We start from the raw sequence: 25,423 nt of genomic DNA, 5'->3' as shown, positions 1-25,423 counted from the left end.
TTTAAGGGTGTGCATGCTAGGAGCATTTCCATTAACCTACCTGGGGGAGCTGCAGAGTCTGGTCTCCCAGTTCCCTCTCCTCCTCAGTACACTGGCAGCTCCTGAGCCTTCCTCGGTGGGCGAGAAACTCTTCAACTCCTGGTGCTGTTGCCATAAGGAAGTTCTGCATCCAGGCAGTCTGTTCTGGTGGCCAAGGCTTCAACTGCCCCGTGTTGCCCAGCTCCAAATGTCGGCATCCTGGTCTCTACTATAGTGTTTGCTCTTCAGTGTGAGCCTGTGTTCTGCCCACTTGGGACTAAAGAAACCCTTCTTCCCAGCCCTGAGCCCAGATAGCACTCTGGCTTCAGACAGCCTGGTCTTAGAGCAAATATGGTTCTTTTAAGATCCACAAAGAGCGCTTTGGTCTAGCACTGACAGTTGAGGATGGGGCAGATGATATTAGAGTCACATCTCCTGGTGTGACTCACTCCTGAGCACAGGCCCTTACCCTCCTAGGAAGAACAGCGATGGCACTCTCCCTGTCCCTAGGATGGAGTCTTGCCATTAGCCTCAGGCTCATAGTTGGAAAGCACGATGGGGGAAATGGGCAGAGACGGCCTCACTGAAGTGCAGTTGCTGACCAGACACTGGCAGACACAGGGATGGCTTGACACGTGTGTGCCAAAGCTCATTGCAAGGTTTCTGCAAAGTCCATCAACACCTGGAGGCACTTCTGCTGGAATCCCAGCTGACCTGCTCCTCGTGGATCTCCTTGCCAGCTGACAGCAAATAAGCTGATCCCAAGTGTGCAAACTGCCTGCATTGCTGTCTTCCCTCTCTGCTTTTTTCTTATATACATCTGTTGTTAGATAACATAGATGAAACTGACCTATGTCTCCTCTGGCACCAAGTAAACAACTGACGATAATCAACAGTTTCATTCCTCCATCCGTCAGGGCAAGGTTTTCGTCTCTTCTAGTCAGGGAAGCATAACTCTGGGGCCTCAAGTCTGAACAATGGCCCTAACGTAGCATTTCATTGCTTTTTGAGGAGCAGGCCATGCACATGGGGACCCTGAACCCTGCTGTGAGCCACCCTCCAGCTGGGGGAGCCTGTCAGGCTGCACCCCATCTCACTTGACTTGGCCTTGATTCACCATCTTCAAACAGGTAGCTGTGAATGGCTTAGGACCATTCTCAGAGTTCACTTCACCAGCTGAGTTTAAAACATCCCGCTATCCTGTGAGAATGATGAACAGCCACAGCCACGCTGGGCCTGTGCTTGTACAACAAACTTGACTTTGCTTCTGCGCTTCCCAGAAGACACTCCAGCATGCTCTGGGAGTAGGCATACTGGGTATTTGCACCTGATGTGCAAGAAAGAGTGCTTGGAAGATCACAGAAGAGTCAGACAGGAGGAGAGCCGAGGGGTTGAAACCCTCCCGCGAACAGGTACCTGGCACGTACCTGGCACACCATTCTCCTCCGGAGAGTGCTGCTCTGTCGCCCAGGCTGGAGTGCAGTGGCACAGTCACAGCTCACTGCAGCCTCAAACTCCCGGGCTCAAGTGATCCTCCTGCCTCAGCTTCCTGAGTAGCTGGGACTATGGGCATGCTACCATGCCTGGCTAATTTTTAAATTTATTTTGTAGTAGAGACAGTGTCTCACTATGTTGCCCAGGCTGGCCTTGAACTCCTGCCCTCAAGGGATCCCAAATAAATATATTTATTTCTAAATTCATTCTAAATGTTTGCAATGTTAAGTATGTGTGGCAAAAGAACAGATACCTTTCATTTTTTCAATCACCTTTCAAATATTGTTACAAAAGCACATATTACTGTGAAATAGTCGTAATTTCAGAAAGAAATTATTCTTCATTCAACTTCTCTTAAGATTTTTAATTAAACTTTTTATTTTGAAAACATTCAGAACCTACAGCAAAGTTGCAAGAATATTACAAGTTAATGATTATATGCTCTTCCCCTCTATTCTCCCACCATTGATACTTAGCCATGCCAACTCTCTCCATCTCTATATTCTACACATTTACAGTGCAATTATCAAATTTAGAAAACTTAACATTGACACAATGCTATTATCTAATATGTGGTGAATATTCAAATTTTGTTGATGGTTACAAAATTGCCTTAAAAGCAACTTTTTCCCCTCAACACAAAATCCAATCTAGGGTGATGCGTCGCATTTAGGTGTCATGTCCCCTTAGACTTCCTTAATCAGGAGCAGTCCTTAGCCTTTCTTTGTTCCATGAGGCTGAAAGTTCGTTTCTGAAGTGCTCAGGGTCTTTTTGTTTTGCTGACGTCTCAGTTTGGGTATCACTTGGTTAAGGTGGTGTCATCCAGAGTTATCTTCTGGAAAGGCACCTTCTATCTTGGATAGGAAGGAATTTAAGAGCAGGCACTAGGCAACTGTAAATATCACCCCACAATTCCACTGAATGATATTAATATTCAGCGACGATCTTTGCCCGGGCCAACAATTATTATGGTGGTTTCAAAGCAGTCATTTTCTGACTCCTTTATCAGTTGGCCTTCTATAAGGAGAGGCTTTCTCATGGATCCCACCCCTTCACTTGCTTGTTTTCTGCCAGCATTCTGTACTCACAGGTTGGTTTCTTTGTCCAGTGAGTTGTCACCCACTACCTTCATGAGCCATTTTCAAGCTCAATTTGTCTCATGTGTGCCCAGTGGCAGCTCCTTCAAACTAGTCCTTGTTTCCTTTTGTCCCCATCATGTTTTGAGCAGTTCCTTACTTTGGGGCTGATCCTGTACTTTTCCTGCCTCAGCCCTGGAGTCAGCCATTCTCTAGGGAGCTGGTTCCCTGGAGTGGGTCTGGCACATGTTTAACAAAGGAAGGAAGATGCAAGAGAAGGAACTCCAACATCCAAATCCTTCATTTAAGAGAGTCTTGAAAATACCCGGGAACAGGGGAACTCTTGCTGTCCAGTGGACTTTAACCTTAATTTTTCCATATTTTCATATTTTAGGCCCTGCATGTTTTTCTTCGGGAAGGCTGTGCAGTCTGCTCTGAGGAGACAGATCAACCTAGCCCTTCTCCAGGACGAACTCCGAAAACCACAGGAATTCACGTTCAAAGGATGACGCATCTCAGAATCAGGTCTGTGTGTATGTGAATTGCTTTTATCTCGTAGGAAAGAAAATCCCCATCTTATACGGCCACTTTTTGACAAAATATGTTCATGCATCCCCAAATCAGAAAAATCATTTGTTACTTCAGTTTCCTGGAAGGAGAAAAGCACTGAATAACTTCTGCAAGCAAGGAAACCTGAGTTCAGTGTGGTTCCCAGGGCCTGCTACCTCCTTACTGACTGAGACCTGGGCGTTTGGCCGAAGCACACATCTCTCAACAGGGGCCACTTATATCTTTATCAAGGGGTGCCTGGGGTGTGTGTGTGTGTGTGTGTGTCTCTGTGTGTGTATGTGTCTGTGTGTGTGAAAAAACAGAGAGAGAAATGAAAGTTGTGGAGGTGAGAAAGTATTTCATAGGTTAGATATTAGTCATCATGAACATTTTTGCATTTAAAATGAGTATCTTATAGGACAGAAGTTCCTAACGCAGAGTTTTTAATTTTGTTTTGCTTTTTATTTTCTAAAATGACCTTTTAAAATAAAATTCCTCCAGCCTGGCCAACATGGCGAAACCTCATCTCTACTGAAAATACTAAAATTAGTGGGGCGTGGTGGCGAACGCCTGTAATCCCAGCTACTTGGGAGGCTGAGGGAGGAGAATCGCTTGAACCTAGGAGGCAGAGGTTACAGTGAGCCAAGATCATGCCACTGCACCCCAGCCTGGGCGACAGAGCAAGACTCCGTTTTGAAAAAATAAAATAAAATAAATAAAATTCCTCCCTACGAGACATGATACCACTAACTCACCCCTCTTCCCAAATTTGCAAATCAAGTTATTAAAGCTCTTTTCAATTCATTTTTCCTTTCTGAACAATGACTATTTAATATAAAGAGTTAACTCGTTCTGTTTTTCAATACAAATAAGAATTACAAACTGTAGAGCTATTTCTAGCAGAAGTACTTTCTTACGGAACCAATTTTTCTTCTGATTAATTCAAATTTATTTTAAACGTGTGAAAGAATTTCAAATACTGTTACACAGATATTCTAAATGTCTAAAATCAACTCTGAAATAAAGTCCCTACCTGGAGCCTCCCTGGCTCACTTTCTCTTCCTTAGCTATTCTCTTTTTCTTTCTTCCTGTATTTTTTCATTGCAAATCTTAAAGTCGTGGTAAGACCGAAAACAAGCAAACAATTAACTGCACAAGGTAACCCCCATTAGAGATAGTGCTGTGAATACCTGCAGAGGGGGCTGTGGAAACAGTGACAGGCTGCACATGGGGTGGGGGTGGGAGTGAGGAAGACCCAGGAGGGGCCTGGCAGGGGAGCCAGAAGGGCAAAGAGCAGCAGGAGCTCCGCAGGACTTAGTGGGTGAGCAGGCGGGCGAGTGAGGGTCTTGCGGGGTGCCGGGAGCAGGCGGGCGAGCGAGGGTCTTGCGGGGTGCTGGGAGCCCGCAGGACTTAGTGGGTGAGCAGGCGGGCGAGCGAGGGTCTTGCGGGGTGCTGGGAGTGGATGCGCTAAAGTCTGAGAAGTGGCCAGGGTCCTGATCGCCGGGGGGTCTGTCGTCCTCAGGGAGGAGCTGGACTTTCCGGCCAGCACAAAGCAAAGCCCTTTGATGAGATGCTTTGCTTCAGAAGTCACCTTGGCAGCTGCGTCAGGGAACGGATGTAGCGGCTCAAGAGTGAACCCGGAAAGGCTCCTAAGGAGGTCCCTGCCTCAGTCCAGGCAAGGCTGTGGCCTAGACGAGGTGGCGGGCTCGTGTGGATGTGGAGAGAGGTGGGTTTTAGGGGTAGAGCTGGTCCGACTTCCTGATAAGTAGATACGGAGTGGGAGGAGTCAGGAGGTCTGTTCCGGGCCCGCCATTGTGGAGCCGGAAGGGAGGCCACGCTGACAGGGAAGCTGCTGTGAGGTGAAGAAGGTTCGCTGGTTTTCTGGCCCGTACCTGTGCAGGGGTCCCAGGGCCCGGTACTCTGTTCTTTGGCGGGAGCTGGTTGACCTTGTCTGAGGTCATTGTTCATCTACGCATCAGGGTCCTTCTATGAGTCTTCGAAGCCAGAACTAGCGAAGAGAGTCAGTCCAGCCCCTCCACGTTCCCTTCACTTTCTTGAGGAAGAAGGTCTGCAACAGGACCATGTAAAACCAACGCGGAGGAGGAGAGAGAGAGAGAGACGGAGGGGAGACAGGGAGAGACGGAGCGAGAAGGGAGACAGAACGAGAGAGAGGGAGGGAGAGGGGGAGAGAAGACAGGGAAGGATGGCGGGGAGGGAGAGAGGAAGAGATAGGGAGAAAGACAGGGAGGGAGAGGAAGAGGCAGAGAGAGAAAGGGAGAGAGAGGGAGGTGGGGGAGAGAGACGTTTGAACGAAGTCTACAGATTAGTTAATAGTGTGATCATTGTTAACTTGCTGACTTTGATCATGGCTGTGGTTATGGGTGTTAATATTTGAGAAAGCTGAATGAAGGATGAACAGAGATTTTTCACCCTAAGTGAAAAGCCATAAGTCTGAAATATAAAACATTAAAAAGTTTTTTAAAAAGAAAAAATCTAGGCAAAAATTATAGCACCTCAAATACTGCTTTTGATATAATTTGTGCCTAGTCAATTTCCTAAAAAACATTATTTTTCTCTTGAAAAATATAAGGTGCTTTGTAGGTTAGTCTTGGCTGGTAAAAGAGAAAAGTATGCAAGATAGAGTATGCTCTAAAAAAGTAAATACATAGCATATGGGGCTTCTAATTTCCTAGTTGCCCCTTTTGGCATGGAGGCATTGTTTTAAAGAAAATCTATTCTTTAAGCAAAAGCTCCAGGTGAGGAGTAAGGGGTGAGTTTGGGGGCCCCCTCTGGCTCTGGGGAAGGGGGAAACAGGCTTTAAAGCTGGGGCAGGAATTTCCCAGCCTAGAGAGTTGGCTGCTCTTCTAGTTACCCGATTTTTCCCCCTGAATGTATCCTTCCCCATCTTTGGGTCTCCCCTTCTTCATGTTCTTCGCTCAATATACAAGGTGCCGAAGTTAAATAAAGCCTTTCTTTTCTTCATAATGCCGCTTGGCATCACGGAGCATCTTGTGCTGGGTGTAGTGTGTGGTCCTAGAATGTCTCAGCTCAGTTTTGCTCAAAAGCTTGCTCTTCCTGGTCTTTCATCTACTTCTCACAACCTTACCCAAAAGAATGTGCAAGTCAACACACAATCGCATAAATGTAGCAGCCTAATTTTTCATAAAACTAAGGCGCATTGAAAAAAGAAGTGAGACTGCCAATTTGTTTTGTATCTTGTGCCTTATTTTATTTTGACTCAGAGCATGTATTTACTTCCACGGTGGAAACCATGCCTGGGGCAGAGGGGAGATGTTCACCACATTTTCTTATATTTTAGAGAGATGTCACTAATGTGGATTCTGTGAGGCAAAGTTTGTTGTAAACTTGGAAATAATGATGATTTGCAGCCCACAGAGCCATTGTTTCATGTAATTCTCAGGAGTTGAACTTAAGTTAACATCAACATGGGGCAGAACCGTACTGTTCTGAAAGTGATTTGAGGTTAGCGGCCAGAGTGAAAGCATGAGTCTCTTCCACAGATGGCTGAGCTAAGACACGGCGTATTCGGTAACTCACGCATGATGAGTCCCACAGCTGGCTCTGTAGATTCTTGGCCCAGTGTTCTGGTCTCCAAGCCCAATCACGCCTTGTTAGGGTTTCGTGGTGGAGTTTATTTTGGTGCATTCCATGGCAGGGTTAGTGGGGTTGGGTGAACATCAAAAGGTTCCGTGTGAGGGGGGAGCTGCTCCAACCAACCATTCTGACTCTCAGAAGCATCTGCCAGCATCATTGGTCTACGGGATTAGACTGGGAACCTTTTTGAAGACAAGATTTCTCCTTTCTCATCTTTTGAAAACAGCAGTAGAGCCCACCTCAGAGGGTTTTGACATCACTAATTTTGACCTCAGAAAAAATAATGTGTGTTTTCAAAATTTCAAGTGATCCCTGAACACCAGAATCTTGGGAAAAGCATGGTGGTCCTTACCAAAGCTTTCTCCCTGCCATGAGCATAGGCCCTACAGATAGTTCCCAGCACAGTAAATGAAACAGTGTCTGCATTGGACAAAAGGCATCTCAAACCTCCAGTAGCCTGGTTATTTTGAACAGTTTTTTTTTTCTTTTTTGCATGAACAAATTTCAGTGCAACAAAGAATCAGAATGGCCACATGAAGTAATCCTAAGTGACACTAGCCTGATGTAGATCCCATTCAATGCAGTCCCTGCCTTCCAGGTGAGACACAGTCCTCAGCTCTGCAGATACCTACAGAGAGTATCCCCTTTCCCATATTTGACCTTCCCTGTTTCCAACCCTAACATGATGGTTTATGTTTGTCTATTGTGTGAGAAGGCAGTTGGTGTTTTTTTGTTTATAAGAATTATTCTGGAATTCCTTCCCTGATAAAACTGCTGATAGACTGGGACCAGATCGGATAAGATTTGGTGTTGAGGACACCTGTCGATTGTTTTGTCAAGATAGAAGGTCCAAGACACAGAGGTGGCTGCAGTGCAGAGAGCAAATGGCCTGAGGTCGACAGGAGGCTGTGGGAATACCAGTTTGGGGCTTTGTCTGTTCACACAGCTCTTGGGAGACAGAAGTGAGACCCAAGAGAGAACCTCTGTGGTTCAGAGAAGGCACCTCACCTGTAGGGGGTCAGCTGTTTGTCTAGGGTGGTCCCACAAATCACCTAGCCACGTCAAACTCACAGAGCAGTGATGTAGTCATTTTTTACCTCACAATAGCACGGATACAATGCAACAGAAAAAGACTTGCAATAAAATAAAACATTTCCTAAATGGAAGGTGGGGATGATGTAAGGTAAGTTAAAACACCATACAGCTGTTTTAGCAGGTTTTTTGTGTTTTTTTGTTTGTTTGTTTGTTTGTTTGTTTGTTTTCTAGATGGATGTGAACAAGATTCCCAGGGTACTCAGAGGGCAGGTGAATGACGAATTTAATATATGCCCCATCTCTAACGTAAGATAGAGACAAAGTTTGTCAAGTTTTATAATGACTTATTTGGAGTAGTGATTGATGAAAAATTATTGTAAAGTAGAAATACAGTATCACAGAAGATTATAGGACCAATCATGAGACCATATAATTATATATCCTCATATATCTTATGTATGAAACTTTGTGTTTTACAAGCTTACCATATTAGAACGGGCCCCCTGTTCCCTGTTCTGAAGGCATATAAATTCACCATGGGCTTTTGAACGTCCTTTGTCCCAACTTCACAATCAGAATTTGTAAAAGCAACAAAAGGTCAGAGTTCGGAGGGCAATTTCTATCTCAAGCATGGAACTAACAGGTAAAGCAATGATGATGGCCCCTGGGAGTCACTGGGCTGTCACAAACCCTGCCAGGGGAAGTTGGCTTTCAGTGTCTTCCCTCTAGACTTCAATGTTTTTGTGGGTGCAGCTCTGCAGACATTTACATGGTTTTAAAAAATGGAACAGTTCAGCTCAGGGGCAAATATATAGACACATTCAGTCTTAACTACCACTTTAAAATACAGATTTTCTACCCACATAAGCGGTTTAGAATCCCTACCATCATTGTCAAGTGTTTGTTTCTGAAAAGTAAATAAGATCAGAATGAAGAGCCGGTGATCAAAGGAACACAGCATTATTTGTAGCTTCCTACAGTCGTGCGGGCTGGCACGCCTATTATCGCTGCTCAGAAATGAAGACCATACCGTTAGAGATGGTTCCTTTGATCATTTCTCCAAAGCAATCTCGTTGTCAGTGGACAGCTTCCCAGAAGACAGTGTGAAAGCACAGCACAAAAGACATTCATTTCGGCTTTACTATGAACAGACTTCAAAAAGCCTTGCTAAGAAATATTTCCAACTCGGCTGGGTACCAGGAATGGGAAGCACAGGCACAGGCCATGCCTGGATCCTAAGAGTTCATGTTTCTCTGTGGCCAGCTTAGGGTTAGGGCTTCATGAAAGGGTACACCAAAAGCTCCTCTCAGGTTTCCCCTTGAAGAAATATATAAATTAAGAAACTGAGAAAGCCTCACAATGGGAAAATTGTGACTCTTCCATCACGAATTTTTCAGATCTGTTGAACTGCATGACTTCCACTCAGCCCTGACGTTCGTGGATGCTGACATCGTTTTTACAAGCATTTGCTGCCTGGACATAGAGACAATCATTGACATCTACATGGCATAGCCCATTTTTGTTCCAGAAAGAGCCAAAGTTACGATGTTTTACTCATCCATATGTAACCTATGTGAAAATAGAGTATCCTAAGACTGATGGAGTGGACTCTGTGGCAATAAGATACCAAATTATAAATAAGATCCAAGGCCATGCACACGCCTCTACACTTAAACAGTAAGCTCTGTTCTGACTGCCACAAGGTTCTTCTTCTTCTCTAGCAGCTAAACAGCACTGGCCACGAGATAAGCAATATCGAAACAATTGCAGCTCATCTGCTGCCGGACGCTGACTAGTTGACTCCCTGTTCCACCAGCCAGAACTAAAGCTTTGACTGGACAAGAGGCTGATTTCAGTCACTTTCTCCTTCATGTGCCTTCATGTGTTTGCTTCACCTTTTGATGTGTAGGTCCTAATTGCAATGCATTTAAATGTTTGATCTCCACCCCAAAGCGAGGATGCCCATGTGACACGCACGTTAGCTTACTATGCATGTGCACGCCCACCTTCATGACCGTCCGTACCTCCTCCTATAACCTGCTGAATATGTTTACTTAGCCAACCTGTTCAGCATCCATTTCTGCCTCACCTTTCCCCACTTGAAGTGTGTGCCTTCAGTCTCTGCTGGAGGCTACACTTCCCAGCTCGCAGGATGGCCAGTCTGCAGGTCGTAAACCCCTATAAGAAATAAAACTCTCATTTCCAATTTATAGATCTGGTAATTCTAACTTGACATCTGTCTCCTTTGTAGGTGGCCTTTAGTGAGCCAGTGGCTCGGATTTATGTGGTCAGATTCTGAGCCGGCAGACACAAGGACAAGCCAGCGAGAGGTGTGGCAGGACTGGAGATTCTGTGTAGGTCTGTATGTGATGGGCTTTATGAAATGCATCTATTTAATGTACTCCAAGCCAATTCTAAATGAAGCATGATGCAGCCAAATATGAAAGGAGCTCATTATTGATACATTTTATGGACCGAATTGTGTTCTCTGGAAAAGGTAGTTGAAGTCCCTTAATATGTGACCTTATTTGGAGGAATAGGATCTTAAAGAAGTAATCAAGTTAAAATCACGTCATTCAAGTGGGCTCTAATCCAATATAACTGATGTCTTTATTAGAAGGTTAAATTTGAACAGAGACAGATGTGCATAGAGAGAAGGTTGTGTGAAGAGACACAGGAAGGAGACGGCCATCTATTTGGAACAGAGCTTCCCTTATAGACCTCAGAAGGAACCAACTCTGATACCTTGGTTTTGGGCTTCCAGACTCCAGAACTGTGAGACAATAAATTCCTGTTATTTAAGGCTCACCAGTCTGCGGGGCTTTGCCATGGCATCCTAAGAAAGTGAGCGTGAAACTTAATTCATCAGTACGGAAAACATCTTGGCAGTTTAACCACTATTGTAATACTCATGTATTGATACGTGTTTCAGAATTTTTCTGCTCTCTTCCTCAGTATGTATGTACAGCAAAAGCTTCAGAGAGAAACTCCAGGCCATGCAAACTCATGAACTAAACTCTGGGAGAGGTGCTGGTGATGACCTGGAAGGGAAAGATGAGTGTTTGGCACAGGACGGGACCGACCGAAAGTGGTTGTGTGGGAGGGTTTGATGGGGTGGCTGCTGGTTGTTGTTGGGAGAGGAGGGGCAGGTGGGTTCTCTCCTCTGGCAAGGCCACGGGTGTGGTCTGGCTTGGAGCAGGATCCAGAGCCATTGAACTCTGAGGAACTATGAAGCTCCTGCTGCAGGTAGGAAAGAAAGAGAAGGTGAGAAGATAGGAGGAAGCTTCCCAATGCCCTAGACAGGTTGCAGGTGAGGGCACAGACCCCTGTGCAGATGTGCTGGAGCTGCAGTGCAGTGGGATGCCCGGGAACATGGGGGGCTCCTGACTTAGTGCTGAGATGCCTGGAAGTCAAAGGCACGTGGAGATGGCGAGCTGCACGATGAGAAGTGTGATCTCCTCCTTCCAAACTGCAGAGAGACCTGGATTACCCTGTCCCTGATCCTTACTGGCTGTGGAATCCAGAAAAATTCTCCTAACCTGCAGTCTCAGTTTTCTCATCTCAAAAATGGGGTTAATATTAGTGTATGTATCACATTATGTTGTGAAGATTAAATGAAATAATGAACATCTGGAGCATAGTAAATGCTCAATAAATGTAGGCTGAATAAAAAAGAGATCCCCAGACCAGCATTATACAACTTCCAAGATTCCTATTGTATATTCCAGTAGGTAGAGTAGCTTTTTTTAAATTAATGGTACAGATAATAAGTTACTGTGCACAGAAAACACCCAACAGGCAGTGCCGGCATGAGTTTATGATACTGTTCCTCTTTCTTCTGTGCAGACGTGAGTGGCCTCCAGGCCATAGCAGTGTGACCTTGGTTTGTCTGCAGCATCCATCCAGGCACGTGGGAAATGTTGTTTTCAGGGACACTGAAATGTGGAATTTATTCATCCCCTCAGCAAGAATTTGCTGAGCCGCTGCCCTGTGCCAGGCAGTGCCACCTGCTCTCAGCTCACACCTGGCATTCTGACAGAGGGAGGCAGACAGCAATGGCCCAGAGTGTCAGAGGGGGTTAGTGCCGCAGACCAGGAGTGAGCGGCGTCGGGAGGGAGTGCAAGATTCCAGCAGGCGGTATGACAAAGCACAGCACACAAGATGAAATGGATTGGGTGCACCTGCTCACAATGGGGGACTAGGGAGTGTCTCAAAGTTATAGTTTCATTTTCAAGAATGTTCTGATACCTCTGTTACTGTACCTAGATTTGTTTTGAGCCTACGTTTCTTTGAGGTAATTGAGGGGTGTCTGATGGAGAATATATGATGAATAGGCACAGAAAGGAATGCGCACCCACCACCAGACTCCCAGCACTGCCTGTGTAAAGGAGAGATCAATAGGCCAGGAGAACCAGATCAAAGAAAAAGAAAAATGGGAAAAGTTTATTCAGCCACCTGTCTGCATCTCCACTATGGGCCTTGTCCTCATGCCCATGGCTTCACTTTCTTTTTAGTAACAACTCTACTGAGAGATAATTCACATACCACACTCTTCACCCATTTAAAGTGTAGACTTCAGTGGTTTTTAGTACATTCCCAGAGTTGTGCAACCTTCCCCACAATCAATTTGAGAACATTTAAACCACCCCTAAAAGAAACCCCGTCCCTATAAGCAGTACCTCCCCACTTTCCCCAGGCCCCAGCGCCTGGCAACCACTAACCTACTTTCTGTCTGTAAGGATTTGCCTTTTCTGCACATTTCATATCAATGCAGCCATACCATGTGGTCTTTTGTGGCTGGTTTCTTTCCCGTAATGTCTTCCAGGTCCACCATATCATAGCATGTGTCACGCTACCTGATAATGTGTGATTCTTCATGCCTGAATCATATTCCGTCAGCTGTGATCTATCACAATGTGCCTACCCAGTGTCAGCTGGTGGATTGCCGGCCTCATTTAATTTCCCACCTGTACGCCTCTGTATGCCCAGCTCTGCTGCTCACTCAGCCCTCTGCGCTGTTCTTGGATTCCCACACCCAGAAGCTGGCAGGAAGCAGTTGAGGATGGAGAGGGAAGGAGGCAGGGGCTGGGGGTCGCAGACAGCACAGCAGTGAGATCATGTGTGTCCTGGGACTCTTCCTTCCTGGCCTCAGCTCTTTTTCCCTCACCAGTCCTATACCTGAAAACCACCCGTCCTCCTCCTCCTCCCTGGCTGCCAGAGTTTTGGGAGCAAATCCTGTAACCGTGCAGATGCCCTCCCTGAGGTGTGTCCCTGCAGCCTGCCTTCATTCTCCTTGTGGTCAGGGAGAGGTGGCTCCCAGCTCCTCCCAAGCCTTCACTGCAGTTCCAGAGCTTCCATCTGGACCCTCCCCTCTCATAGTTTCTGCCCACCCTCAGCCACACGGCACTAGAGCATGAGCTTCTCGGGGGCAGGACCAGACCTTATGCATCTTGACACTCCATGGTGCCTAACACGTGTTCTTACCATGGGGGTGTGGTCCTGGGACACGCAGCCCGGCCTCCCTGAGATCTGAAGGACTGAGGGCTTCATGCCCCGCTGCTGTGAGTGCTGCCAGCACCATCCCCTGCCTGCCCTCTCTCTAGACATTGCCCTCTGCTGAAGGGACCCACCCTGACCATGGTCCCTGGAGCAGCCTCAGTTGAGTGATGTACTTGTGATAAGAGGGCCCTGCCCCTCTCACCCCGATTCCGCACAACCTTAAAGGGCTGCTCCCACTCCAGAGATCTTCCTGTGGGGTGGCTGAGGCTTTTCTTTTGACCACGTGGAAGCCCAGCCTGTCCCTCTGCCCATCTGCCGCTTTCCCTCCCCACAGGTGTTGGTCCTGAGAGCATTCCCAAATAAATTTCCTGAACCATCATCACCATAGCAAAGCAGCTTCCTGGGCAACCTCACCTACAACAGCCATTTAAGAATAGGAATTTGAAAGACATTGAGTGAAAACAATTTATAATTCAGAAAGGAAAGCTTGCCTTATAAATAAAACTATTCATTATTACTTAGCTAAAATAGTCGTAGTTACTTTACAAATGTTTACGGCTCCCCTGGCTTGGAGATCAATCTAATCTTTTTTTTTTTTCTTAATGTTCAGTCTCTTTATGTCTATGGATATGTAAATATTTAATTAAAACATCTTTGTATAAAATAAATGGTGGTATAAGGAAATGGAAAAAAACCCTTACCTGCAGAGAAAATTTGTGAAATATATTTTTCACACAGAAGGGTAAATAGAATATCCATGTTCCATTCAAATAAAAGTGAAACAAATGCCCATCTATCTTCCAAACAGCTGAAGAAATAGAATATCCCCCACTATAGATAGAAGCTGTGTTGTGCCCAGTTAACTGCTATCCTGAATGGCCAGCTTGCTAGAGGATAGATCAGATAGATAGATAGATAGACAGACAGACAGACAGACAGACAGACAGACAGATAGATAGATAGATATACATACATACATACATACACACATACATATATAGATGATGGATTGGTAGATGGTTGATACATGTTAGATAGATAGATAGATATATGGATACATACATACATACATACATACATAGACAAATTGGGTACATAGATACATAGATGATTGACAGGTAGATAGATACATACATACATACATAGATGGATTGGCAGATGGTTGATACATGTTAGATACATACATACATACATACATACATACATAGAAGATGGATTGGTAGATGGTTGATATATATTAGATGATAGATAGATAGATAGATAGATAGATGATGGAAGATATATAGATGGGAGATAGGTGGATAGATAGATGATAGGTGATGGGTAAATAGATAAGTAGATGATGCATAAATGATCTATGATAAGTAGATAATATAGATGTCAATACATAATCACATACACACGTAGTGTAGGTTTTAGTGTTTTTTTCTTTCGTATTTAACTGGAATTTTATACCATATTTTTTTCTGTGACTTGCTGTTTTACTCAATGACAGCTGCGATTCACCTATGTTGATGTGTGCCCTCATGTTTCCTTCACCTCCACTGCTGTGTAGGACTCCCTGTGTGACTGCCCTGTAGCTTATTTAGGCATGGTATGCACTGAGATGTGGTCAGAGTTTGGGGCCACTGGGTTTCCTGCAAGCTCTGCTCCTGTGCACACGTGGACTCCCAATTGTTACAGTGTGACTGTGGGTTACTGCTCAGGTCTGGCACACAGCACTAGTTTCTCCGGGTGTGTGTCTAGGAGTAGAGTCACTACGCATAGAATATAGGCATGTTCAAGTTTGGTAAGTCATTCCAGACCTTTTCCAAGGGATTCCACTGATGTACGCCCTTCCACACAGCGGATGAGAGCTGGTGTTCCTGCATACCCTCACTAATGCTTGGATTTAAGATGGGCCAATTTGGTGGAGGTGAAGTGCAATGTCACCATGGTCTCCATCTGCCCTGCCCCAGTGCCACTGAGGTGAAGCATATGATTATGGGCTATTCATCTTCCCTCCTCTGCTAAGTGACGGCTCAAGGCTCACACTTGTTTTTTTCTATTGGGCTGTTTGCCGTTTTATTATAATTTGTAGTTCTTTATATCTTCTCTGCATACATTCTTTATTAGTTTTATGTAATACAAACATATCTCTTTCAGTTTTTGTCTTTTTTCCACCCTTTGTTGTGTTTTTTGATCAAGATACATAATTAAATTGATTACTTAAGTTAAAATTAAACTCTTAAATTTTAATGTGGTCTAATTTATCAAGTGTTTTCTTTAATATTTGTACATCCTTGTCTTGTATAATGAATGTCTGTGTTCTAAATTTGTAAAGATATTTTCTTACATAAACTTCTAAACATTTTATGAATTTGTCTTTTATAGTCATTTATTCTATCTGAAATTGATTTTTAAGACTGGTGTAATATAGAAATTCACGTTCATTCTTTTCCATTTGGATAAGCAGCAACATTAATTTTTTAAAGTTTTTTGAATTGATAATACATTCACACGCAGCAAAGTATCAAAGCAATGTCAAATGGCTTACAGTGAAAAGTCTTACTTCCCCTCCCTCACAACCCAGTTCTCCACCTGTGCACCTACAGACAACGACTTTTAGTCATTATTTTATAAATTTCCTTGGCATCTCTGTGTAAGTGCAAGAAAACATGAAATTATATTTCCATTTTCCTTCTTTGCTAGACTCCTAAGAAACTTGTTTTTTCACAATTCGCAGTAGACCTTGGCAATTGTTCAAAGTCCCTACCAAGACCTTCCTTGTTCTTTTTGAGGGATGGCACAGTATTCCATTGTACAGTAAAGCCATATCTAGAGATTTTCTTTTCACTCATGATGTAACAGACTGGATCTGCCTCCCTCCCCACCTTAAGCAATTGGAATTTCTGAAGCTAAACTCTAGAACGCAGGAAGCTGTGGAGACAGAAGTGATAACAAACTCCAGAGATGTGTGGAGCATTCTCCTTGAGTCTCTGAGTTGGTCGTGATCTGCACTGGAGTAATGTGGAATGAATGAAGATATGTCTCTTCAAGCCTTTTGCCCATTTTTAATTGGGTGTTTGTGTTTTGTTATTGAGTCATAGAGTTATTTGTATGGCCTGGCTAGCAGACCCTTATCAAATATATGATTTGCAAAATAGTTCTCCCATTCTATAGGTTGTCTTTTCACTTTATTTATAATGTATTTTAAAGCACAAAGCTTTTGGTTTTGATGGAGCCCAATTTTTCTATTTTTTTCTTTTGCTACTTGTGCTTTTGGCTTCCTGTGTAAAAACCCCTTGCAAAATCCAAGATCATGAAGATTTACTTCTGTGTTTTCTTCTAAGAGTTTTATAGTTTTAGCTCTCACATTTAGGTTGTTGGTTCATTATGAGTTAATTATTGTAAATGATGTGATGTAAGCATCCAGCTTCATTCTTTTGCATATTGGTAGCCAGCTGTTCCAGCATCATTTGTTGAAGAAACTGTGTTTCCCATTTGAATTTTATTGGTGTCCTTGTTGAAAATCAATTGGCCTTAGATGTATGGGTTTATTTTTGGGCTCTTAGTTCTATTCCATGGGTCTATATATTTATCCTCATACCAATACTATGCTATTTCAATCACTGTAGATTTGTAGTAAGTTTAGAATTAGGAAGTGTATGTCTTCTCTTTCAGAATTTGTGTGTGTGTCTCTGTGTGTGTGGCTATTCTGGGTACTTTGCAATTCCCTATAAATTTGAGAATCAGTATTTCCATTTCTCCAAAGAAGGCCATTAGAATTTTGATAAGGATTGCATCAAATCAGTAAGTTGTTTTGAGAGTATTGCCATCTTAACAATGTTAAGTTTTCTAATCCATGAACATGGGATATCTTTCCATTTACTTATGTCTTCTTTAATTTCTTTAAGCAATATTTTGTAGTCAAACAATGTCAGTGTACAAGTCTTTCACTCTCTTGATTGAATTTCTTCCTAGATATTATATTCTTTAGGATGCCATTGTAAATTGAATGGTTTTCTGAATTTTCTTTACATATAATTCATGTCCAGTGCACTGATTTTTGTATGTTAATGTGGTATCCTGCAATTTTGCTAAATTTGTTAATTATCTCTCATAGTTTTTTGTAAATTGTAAAGGATATACATATATATATGATTATGTCATCTGTTAATAGGGTAATTTCACTTTTTCCTCCATTTTGGATGTCTCTAATCTCTTTTTCTTGTCTAATTACTCTTAGAACTTTGTATTACTTTATTTTCACACTACTCTAAAGATACTACTTGAGACTGGCTAATTTATAAACAAAAGAAGCATAACTGACTCACAGTTCCATGTAGCTGAGGAGGGCTCAGGAAACTTACAATCATGGAAGAAGGTGAAGGGGGAGCAGGCATCTTCTTCATAAGGCAGCAGGAGAGAGAGAGCAAAGGGGGAACTGTCAAACACTTTTAAAACCATCAGCTCTTATAAGAGCTCCCTATCATGAGAACAGCATGGGGGAAACCACCTCCATGACCAATCACCTCCTACCCTCTGACCAGGACCCCCCTTTGATACATGGGGATTCCACACCTGGCTAATTTTTTGTAGTTTTAGTAGAGACGGGGTTTCACCATGTTAGCCAGGATGGTCTCAATCTCCTGACCTCATAATCCGCCCGTCTTGGCCTCCCAAAATGCTGGGATTACAGGCGTGAACCACCATGCCTGGCTGTGTTAATTCTTCTTTAAGTGATGAGTAGAATTCACCAGTGAAGCCATGTGAATCTGGACTTTTTTGTTGGGAGGCTTTAGTTTACTGATGTAATCTTTACATATCATAGGTCATTTCAGGTTTTCTATTTCTTCGTCTTGATCTAATTTTTTTTAGCATGCAATTGTTCATAATATTCTCCTATAATCATTTTAATTTCTGTAAAGTCAGTAGTAATGTTCCCACTTTTATTTTTGATTCAGAAATTTGAGTCTTCTGTCTGTTTTCTTAGTCAACCTGGCTAAAGATTTCGCAATTTTGTTGATCTTTTCAAAGAAACAACTTTTGGTTTCATTAATTTTCCCTATTGTTTTTCAATTCTCTATTTTATTTCACTTCACTCTATTATCTTTTCCTTCTGCTGTCTTTTGGTTTGGTTTACTCTTATTTATTTAGTCTCCTATGGTGTTAAGTTGTTTTGAAATCTTTATTCTTTTTAATATAGGCATGCACAACTACAAATTTATTCATAAGCACTGCTTTTGCAGCAGTCTATAACTTCTGGTTTGTTATATTTTTGTTTTAATTTGCCTTTAAGTATTTTCTTAATTTCCTTTGGGATTTCTTCTTTGACCCCTTAGTTATTTAACAGTGTGTTGTTTAATTTCTATACATTTGTAAATTTAAAAATTTTTTTTCTTCTTTTGAGTTCTAGTTGATATGGCTTGGACCTGTGCCCCCACCAAATCTCATGTCAAATTTTAGTCCCCAGTGTTGGAGGTGGGGCCTGGTGTGGGGTGGTTGGATCATGGGGGAGAATTTCTCATGAATGGTTTAGTACCATTCTCTTAGTGCTGTTCTTATGACAACGAGTAAATTCTTATGAGATCTGGCTGTTTAAAAGTGTGCAGAACCTTTGTCTCTCACTCTTTCTTGCTCCTGCTCCCACTGTGTGAGATGCCTTGCTCCCTCCTTGCCTTCTGCCATGATTGTTAAGTTTCCTGAGGCCTCCCCAGAAGCCAAGCAGATGCCAGCATCGTGCTTCTTGTACAGCCTGCAGAACCATAAGTCAATTAAACCTCTTTTCTTTACAAATTATGCAGTCTGAGGTATTTCTTTATAACAATGCATGAACAGACTAGTTCACTGGTCTTATTTCATTGTGGTCAGAGAAGATACTTTGCATTATTTCAATGTCTTAAAATTTATTGAGATTTGTTTTGTGGGTTAACATATGATCTATTCCAGAGAAGGTCCCATGCGCATTTGAGAAGAATGTGTATTTGGGGTAGCATGTGTATTATTGGGTAGAATTTACTGATACTTTTGTTAGTTTATAGTATCGTTCAAGTTATCTGTTTTCTTTTTGATCCTCTATTTGTTCTATCTATTACTGAAGGTGGGATATTGAAGGCTCTAACTATTCCTTTCTACAATTCTGTCAATGTTTGTTTCACATATTTGGGGGCTTTCTTATTATATAATTGCTGTATACCTTTGCTTGACTTATCTTTTTTGGTTACTTTTGCATACAATTTATTTTCTTCACTCATTCACTTTCAACCTATATGTGTCTTTGAATTTTAAGTGAGTCACTTATAGACAACATATAGTTGGATTTTGTGGATTTTTTTCTTTCTCCCAATCTCTGCCTATTCTAAGGACAGAAGTATCTTCTTTTCTTATCAGTAAATACTTTAAGTGTGAATATACTAAACAGAAGAGGATCAACTGAAGAGTTTAGTATATTCACACTTAAAGTATTTACTGATAAGAAAAGAAGCTACTTCTGTCACGTTGATTTTTGTTTTCTATATGTCTTATATCTTTTTTGTTCCTCAATTCATAGGTAGACATATAGATCAATGCAATAGAATTGAGAGTTCAGAAATAAACCGATAAATCTATAGTCAAAAAATTTTTGACAACTGTCACAAGACCATTCAATGAGGGCAAGAAGAGTCTTTCCAAAAAATGATATAGAACAACTGGATAGCCAATACAGAAGAATGGAATTGGACCTGTACCTCACACCATGTGCAAAAATTGACTCAAAATGGATTAACGACCCAAATTTAAGAGCTAAAACCATAGAAATACTAAAAGAAAACATAGGGATAAGTCTTCATTACCTTAGATTTTGCAAAGGATTCTTATATATGACACCAAAAACAAATGGAAAGTTATGAGCTCCTGGGAGACAGTTACACTTCTGCCTTGGATGAAGGTGTAAAGTAGGTAAAATGCTGTAATAGGAGTGGAGATGCTCTGCCAGGCCTCCCTTCAGGAAAGGATTTGCTTCCCAGTGTGGGGAATGAGGGCACACACTCTCCAGCTGCCAACTCCTTCAAGGTCTGCCTCCCTGGGTGTCCCGCCATCCTGAGGCAGCCTGGTTTTGGAGAACCCAACCTGTCACAAATATCCACATAGGTCATTTTAGATGGGAATAGGGAAAATTTGGAAGAACTGATTAAAATTGCATAAATGAGTAAATTCCTTGAAAAAGGAATGTAACAGATTATTAGCAGGGGATTGAGACGTTGACAGCTGGTTTTGATTCTATTCATTCAGTGCTCAGACTTTGAGCTTCTACTTCATGCTAGGTGGTAAGGTGTGTAAGTAGACACAATAAAAAATGATAAAGGGGATATCACCACTGATCCCACAGAAATACAAACTACCATCAGAGAAGATTATAAACACCTCTGTGCAAATAAACTAGAAAATCTACAAGAAATTGATAAATTCCTGGACACATACACCCTCCGAAGACTAAGCCAGGAAGAAGTCGAATCCGTGAATAGACCAATAACAAGTTCTGAAATTAAGGCAGTAATTAATAGCCTACTAAACAAAAAAAAAGCCCAGGACCAGACAAATTCACAACCAAATTCTACCAGAGGTACAAAGAAGAGCTGGTACCATTCCTTCTGAAACTATTCCAAGCAATAGAAAAAGAGGGACTCATCCCTAACTCATTTTATGAGGCCAGCATCAACCTGATACCAAAACCTGGCAGAAACACAGCAAAAAAAGAAAATTTCAGGCCAATATCCCTGATGAACATCAGTGTGAAAATCCTCAATAAAATACTGGCAAACTGAATCCAGCAGCACATCAAAAAGCTTATCCACTACGATCAAGTTGGCTTCATCCCTGAGATGCAAGGCTGGTTCAACATTTACAAATCACTAAATGTAATCTATCACATAAACAGAACCAATGACCAAAAGCACATGATTATCTCAATAGATGTAGAAAAGGCCTTCGATAAAATTCAACACCTCCTCGTGCTAAAAACTCGCTATAAACTAGATACTGATGGAACATATCTCAAGATAATAAGAGCTATTTATGACAAACCCACAGCCATTATCATACTGAATGGGCAAAAGCTGGAAGCATTCCTTTTGAAAACTGGCACAAGACAAGGATGCCCTCTCTTACCACTCCTATTTAACATAGAAGTTGAAGTTCTGGCCAGGACAATCAGGCAAGAGAAAGAAATAAAGGGTATTCAGATAGGAAGAGAGGAAGTCAAATTGTCTCTGTTTGCAGATGACATGATTGTATATTTAGAAAACCCCATCATCTCAGCCCAAAAACTCCTTAAGCTGATAAGCAACTTCAGCAAAGGTTCAGGATACAAAATCAAGGTGCAAAAATTACAAGCATTTCTATACACCAATAATAGACAAACAGAGAGCCAAATCATGAGTGAACTCCCATTCAAAATTGCTACAAAGAGAATAAAGTACCTAGGAATACAACTTACAAGGGACATGAAGGATCTCTTCAAGGAGAACTACAAACCACTGCTCAAGGAAATAAGAGAGGATGCAAACAAATGGAAAAAAATTTCATGCTCATGGATAGGAAGAATCAATATCGTGAAAATGGCCATACTACTCAAAGTAATTTATAGATTCAATGCTATTCCCATCAAGCTACTACTGACTTTCTTCACAGAACTACAAAAAACTACTTTAAATTTCATATGGAACCAAAAGAGAGCCCATATAGCCAAGAGAATCCTAAGCAAAAAGAACAAAGCTGGAGGCATCACCCTACCTGACTTCAAACTATACTACAAGGCTACAGTAACCAAAACCACATGGTACTGGTGCCAAAACAGATATGTAGACCAATGGAACAGAACAGAGGCCTCAGAAATAACACCACACATTTATAAACCATCTGATCTTCAACAAACCTGACAAAAACCAGCAATGGGGAAAGAATTCCCTATTTAACAAATGATGCTGGGAAAACTGGCTAGCCATATGCAGAAAACAGAAACTGGACCCTTTCCTTATACCTTATAGAAAAATTAACTCAAGATGGATTAAAGACTTTAATGTAAAACCTAAAACCATAAAAAACCCTAGAAGAAAACCTAGGCAATACCATTCAGGACACAGGCATGGGCAAAGACTTCATGACTAAAACGCCAAAAACATTTGCAACGAAAGCCAAAATTGACAAATGGGATCTAATTAAACTAAAGAGCTCCTGCACAGCAAGAGAAACTATCATCAGAGTGAACAGGAAATCTACAGAATGGGAGAAAATTTTTGCAATCTATCCATTTGACAAAGGTCTAATATCCAGAATTTACAAGGAACTTAAACAAATTTACAAGAAAAAACAACCCCTCAAAAAGTGGGTGAGGATATGAACAGAGACTTCTCAAAAGAAGACATTTATGAGGCCAAAAAACACATGAATAAAAGCCCCTCGTCACCGGTCATCAGAGGAATGAAAATTAAAACCACAATGAGATACCATCTCATGCCAGTTAGAATGGCAATCATTAAAAAGTCAGGAAACAACAGATACTGGAGATGATGTGGAGAAATAGGAACACTTTTACACTGTTGGTGGGAGTGTAAATTAGTTCAACCATTGTGGAAGACAGTGTGGCAATTCTTCAAAGACCTAGAACCAGAAATACCATTTAACCCAGCAATCCCATTAATGGGTATATACCCAAAGGACTATAAATCATTCTACTATAAAGACACATGCACACGTATGTTTATTGCAGCACTATTTACAATTGCAAAGACTTGGAATCAACTCAAATGCCCATCAGTGATAGATTGGATAAAGAAAATATGGCACATACACACCATGGAATACTATGCAGCCATAAAAAAGATTGAGTTTATGTCCTTTGCAGGGACATGGATGATGCTGGAAACCATCATTCTCAGCAAACTAACACAGGAACAGAAAACCAAACACCACATGTTCTCACTCATAAGTGGGAGTTGAACAATGAGAACACATGGACACAGGGAGGGGAACATAACACACGGGGGCCTGTAGGGGGTTGAGGGCAAGGGGAGGAGAGCATTAGGACAAACATCTAATGCCATGTGGGGTTTAAAACCTAGATGATGGGTTGATGGGTGCAACAAACCACCATGGCACATGTATACCTGTGTAACAAACCTGCACATTCTGCACATGTACCCCAGAACCCAAAGTAAAAAACAAAAAAATAAAAAAGGAAACTTTTAACTCACTTCTGTCTGCAGGTCACATTCAATGCTTCTGGCAACATCCTGGGGCAAGCGGACATGTGATGCTGAGGTGTATTTTGGCAGTGATTAACTTTGGACAGCAATGAGCATGGCTTGAGTTTATTCAACACCCCAAAAGTAAAACAATTAAAACCCCAAGAAACACTGAAATGACAGCCGTGAAATAATAATTACTCAAAATGCTCAGAAACGTTACTGCCGCAATATATTTGAAGCACTGAATTGCTGTACTTCACATCCCGGTAGAAGAAGAGCTGCACCCAATCTGAGCTTAAGATTGCATCTCTGTAAGGAACAGTACCCTAAATATAGAATGCAAAATGCTTTAAGTCTATTAGTGCCACCTGAAACACTTTTGTACATAAGTTGAATAGATCACTGTCATTATAATCTGGCCTAAAACCCTCTTTTTAAACAAAATGAAGCTATTCAATAAAGCATACCCAATTAGGTTTTACTTGCCAGCCCCACCCTGCTCCTAAGCTGTGTCTTCATAAGCTTGTGCCACATGCAAAAGTTAGCCTAAAGCTTTGGGGCAGAGTCACTGAATCATGAATCTTCACTGTTAGAACATGTTTTGTATGTTTAGAAAACACCAAAATATTGAATTAAGTAAAGTTACTAGGGTGACTGTAGCTTGGTTAGCGCCAGATAAACTGTCATAGACAGAGGGATACCAAGATACGGAAGAGGACATCAAAAGCTCCTGCTCAAACTGCTAGTCGTGATGTGTGCAGACACCTGTGCACACAGGCAAAACCCATGTGGGAGAGGTGGTAACATGCCCAGCTGTGGGCTTTCCAATAAGTCGCAGGATTCTGTCCCCTCATCTGTGGGTGGGACTACAGTGTCACTGGTCTGTGGCATCTAGCTTTTCAGTTTTCATGTATTATATCTTCTTTTTACAGATTACTTTTTAAATTTTCCCTTCAGTTTTTGTATTATTTGTATTCTCTTTTTACAATTTATTTTTTTTTGCCAGAAATCTCATTCTCTTTCCACGTAATCTAGAACTAACTCTTAAAGGAAAGAGATATCTGAAGAAGTCCTGCAAACTTCTACAAAATGAGAAGGCAGAGAGCTCGCCTTTATGCACACTGATCCCACACCAGGCACTCGCCTGTGTCATTTTATTCTATCCTCAAAATCATCCTTTTTCCCACTTGGATATTTCTCTCATTTTTCCAGATGAGAATATCAAGACATGACAAATGCTGCCCAAAGTCATCTTTTCAGTAAGATTAATAATGAACACTGTTTGCAGCCAAGCCCACCATTCCCCCCACCCCCCAATAGCCCAGCTTCTCTCCAAAGTTAAACTAAACATGGTTCTTTTTTTTTTTTTTTTTGAGATGGAGTCTTGCTCTGTCACCCAGGCTGGAGTGCAGTGGCGCGATCTCGGCTCACTGCAAGCTCCACCTCCCGGGTTCAGGCCATTCTCCTGCCTCAGCCTCCCGAGTACCTGGGACTACAGGCGCCCGCCACCACGCCCGGCTAATTTTTTTTTTTTTTTTTTTTTAGTAGAGACGGGGTTTCACCGTGTTAGCCAGGATCGTCTCCATCTCCTGATCTCGTGATCCGCCCACCTCAGCCTCCCAAAGTGCTGGGATTACAGGCGTGAGCCACCGTGCCCAGCCATAAACATGGTTCTTAATGATGACAACGGATAGAGCATCCACAGCCTAACCACAGGAAGTTCTTTCTTGTAGCTAACTAAATTCCCCAGAAAGTTATTCCTTTTTTTTTTTTTTTCTTTTTTGAGAAGGTGGCCCAGGCTGGAGTGCAGTGGCCTGATCTCAGCTCACTGCAACTTCTGCCTCCTGGGTTCCAGGGATTCTCTTGCCTCAGCCTCCCGAGCAGCTGGGATTATAGGCACACACCACAACGCTCAGCTAATTTTTTTGT

General features: G+C 42.3%; 1 long non-coding RNA gene across 2 annotated transcripts in view, besides 3 other annotated features; it reads left to right on the top strand.

Moving 5' to 3' along the window:
- LINC01622 (long intergenic non-protein coding RNA 1622) overlaps positions 1–25,423 on the top strand; it is a 140,330-nt gene that overhangs the window by 92,822 nt on the left and 22,085 nt on the right. The window contains exons 2-3 of one of the 2 annotated variants that reach the window (NR_027115.3): positions 2,983–3,113; positions 10,039–10,145. This is a non-coding gene — a long non-coding RNA (long intergenic non-protein coding RNA 1622). The remainder of the gene's footprint in view (positions 1–2,982; positions 3,114–10,038; positions 10,146–25,423) is intronic. The other variant, NR_027116.2, reaches the window with a different exon arrangement.
- Positions 6,198–6,277: an enhancer, noted in NCBI's record as "active region_23860". NCBI's record gives its function as "activates an Ori minimal core promoter by ATAC-STARR-seq in GM12878 lymphoblastoid cells {active_cell/tissue: GM12878}" and the evidence as "EXISTENCE:reporter gene assay evidence [ECO:0000049][PMID:35858748]".
- Positions 6,368–6,527: an enhancer, noted in NCBI's record as "active region_23859". NCBI's record gives its function as "activates an Ori minimal core promoter by ATAC-STARR-seq in GM12878 lymphoblastoid cells {active_cell/tissue: GM12878}" and the evidence as "EXISTENCE:reporter gene assay evidence [ECO:0000049][PMID:35858748]".
- Positions 12,793–13,312: an enhancer, noted in NCBI's record as "H3K27ac-H3K4me1 hESC enhancer chr6:995434-995953 (GRCh37/hg19 assembly coordinates)". NCBI's record gives its function as "activates a minimal SCP1, AML or CMV promoter by ChIP-STARR-seq in primed H9 embryonic stem cells {active_cell/tissue: H9 hESC(primed)}" and the evidence as "EXISTENCE:reporter gene assay evidence [ECO:0000049][PMID:30033119]".

This window comes from Homo sapiens, chromosome 6 (genome assembly GCF_000001405.40).
Source record: "Homo sapiens chromosome 6, GRCh38.p14 Primary Assembly".
Lineage (NCBI taxonomy): Eukaryota > Metazoa > Chordata > Mammalia > Primates > Hominidae > Homo > Homo sapiens.
The sequence above is the reverse complement of the archived record's forward strand: the minus strand, read 5'-3'. Positions and strand labels throughout refer to the sequence as shown.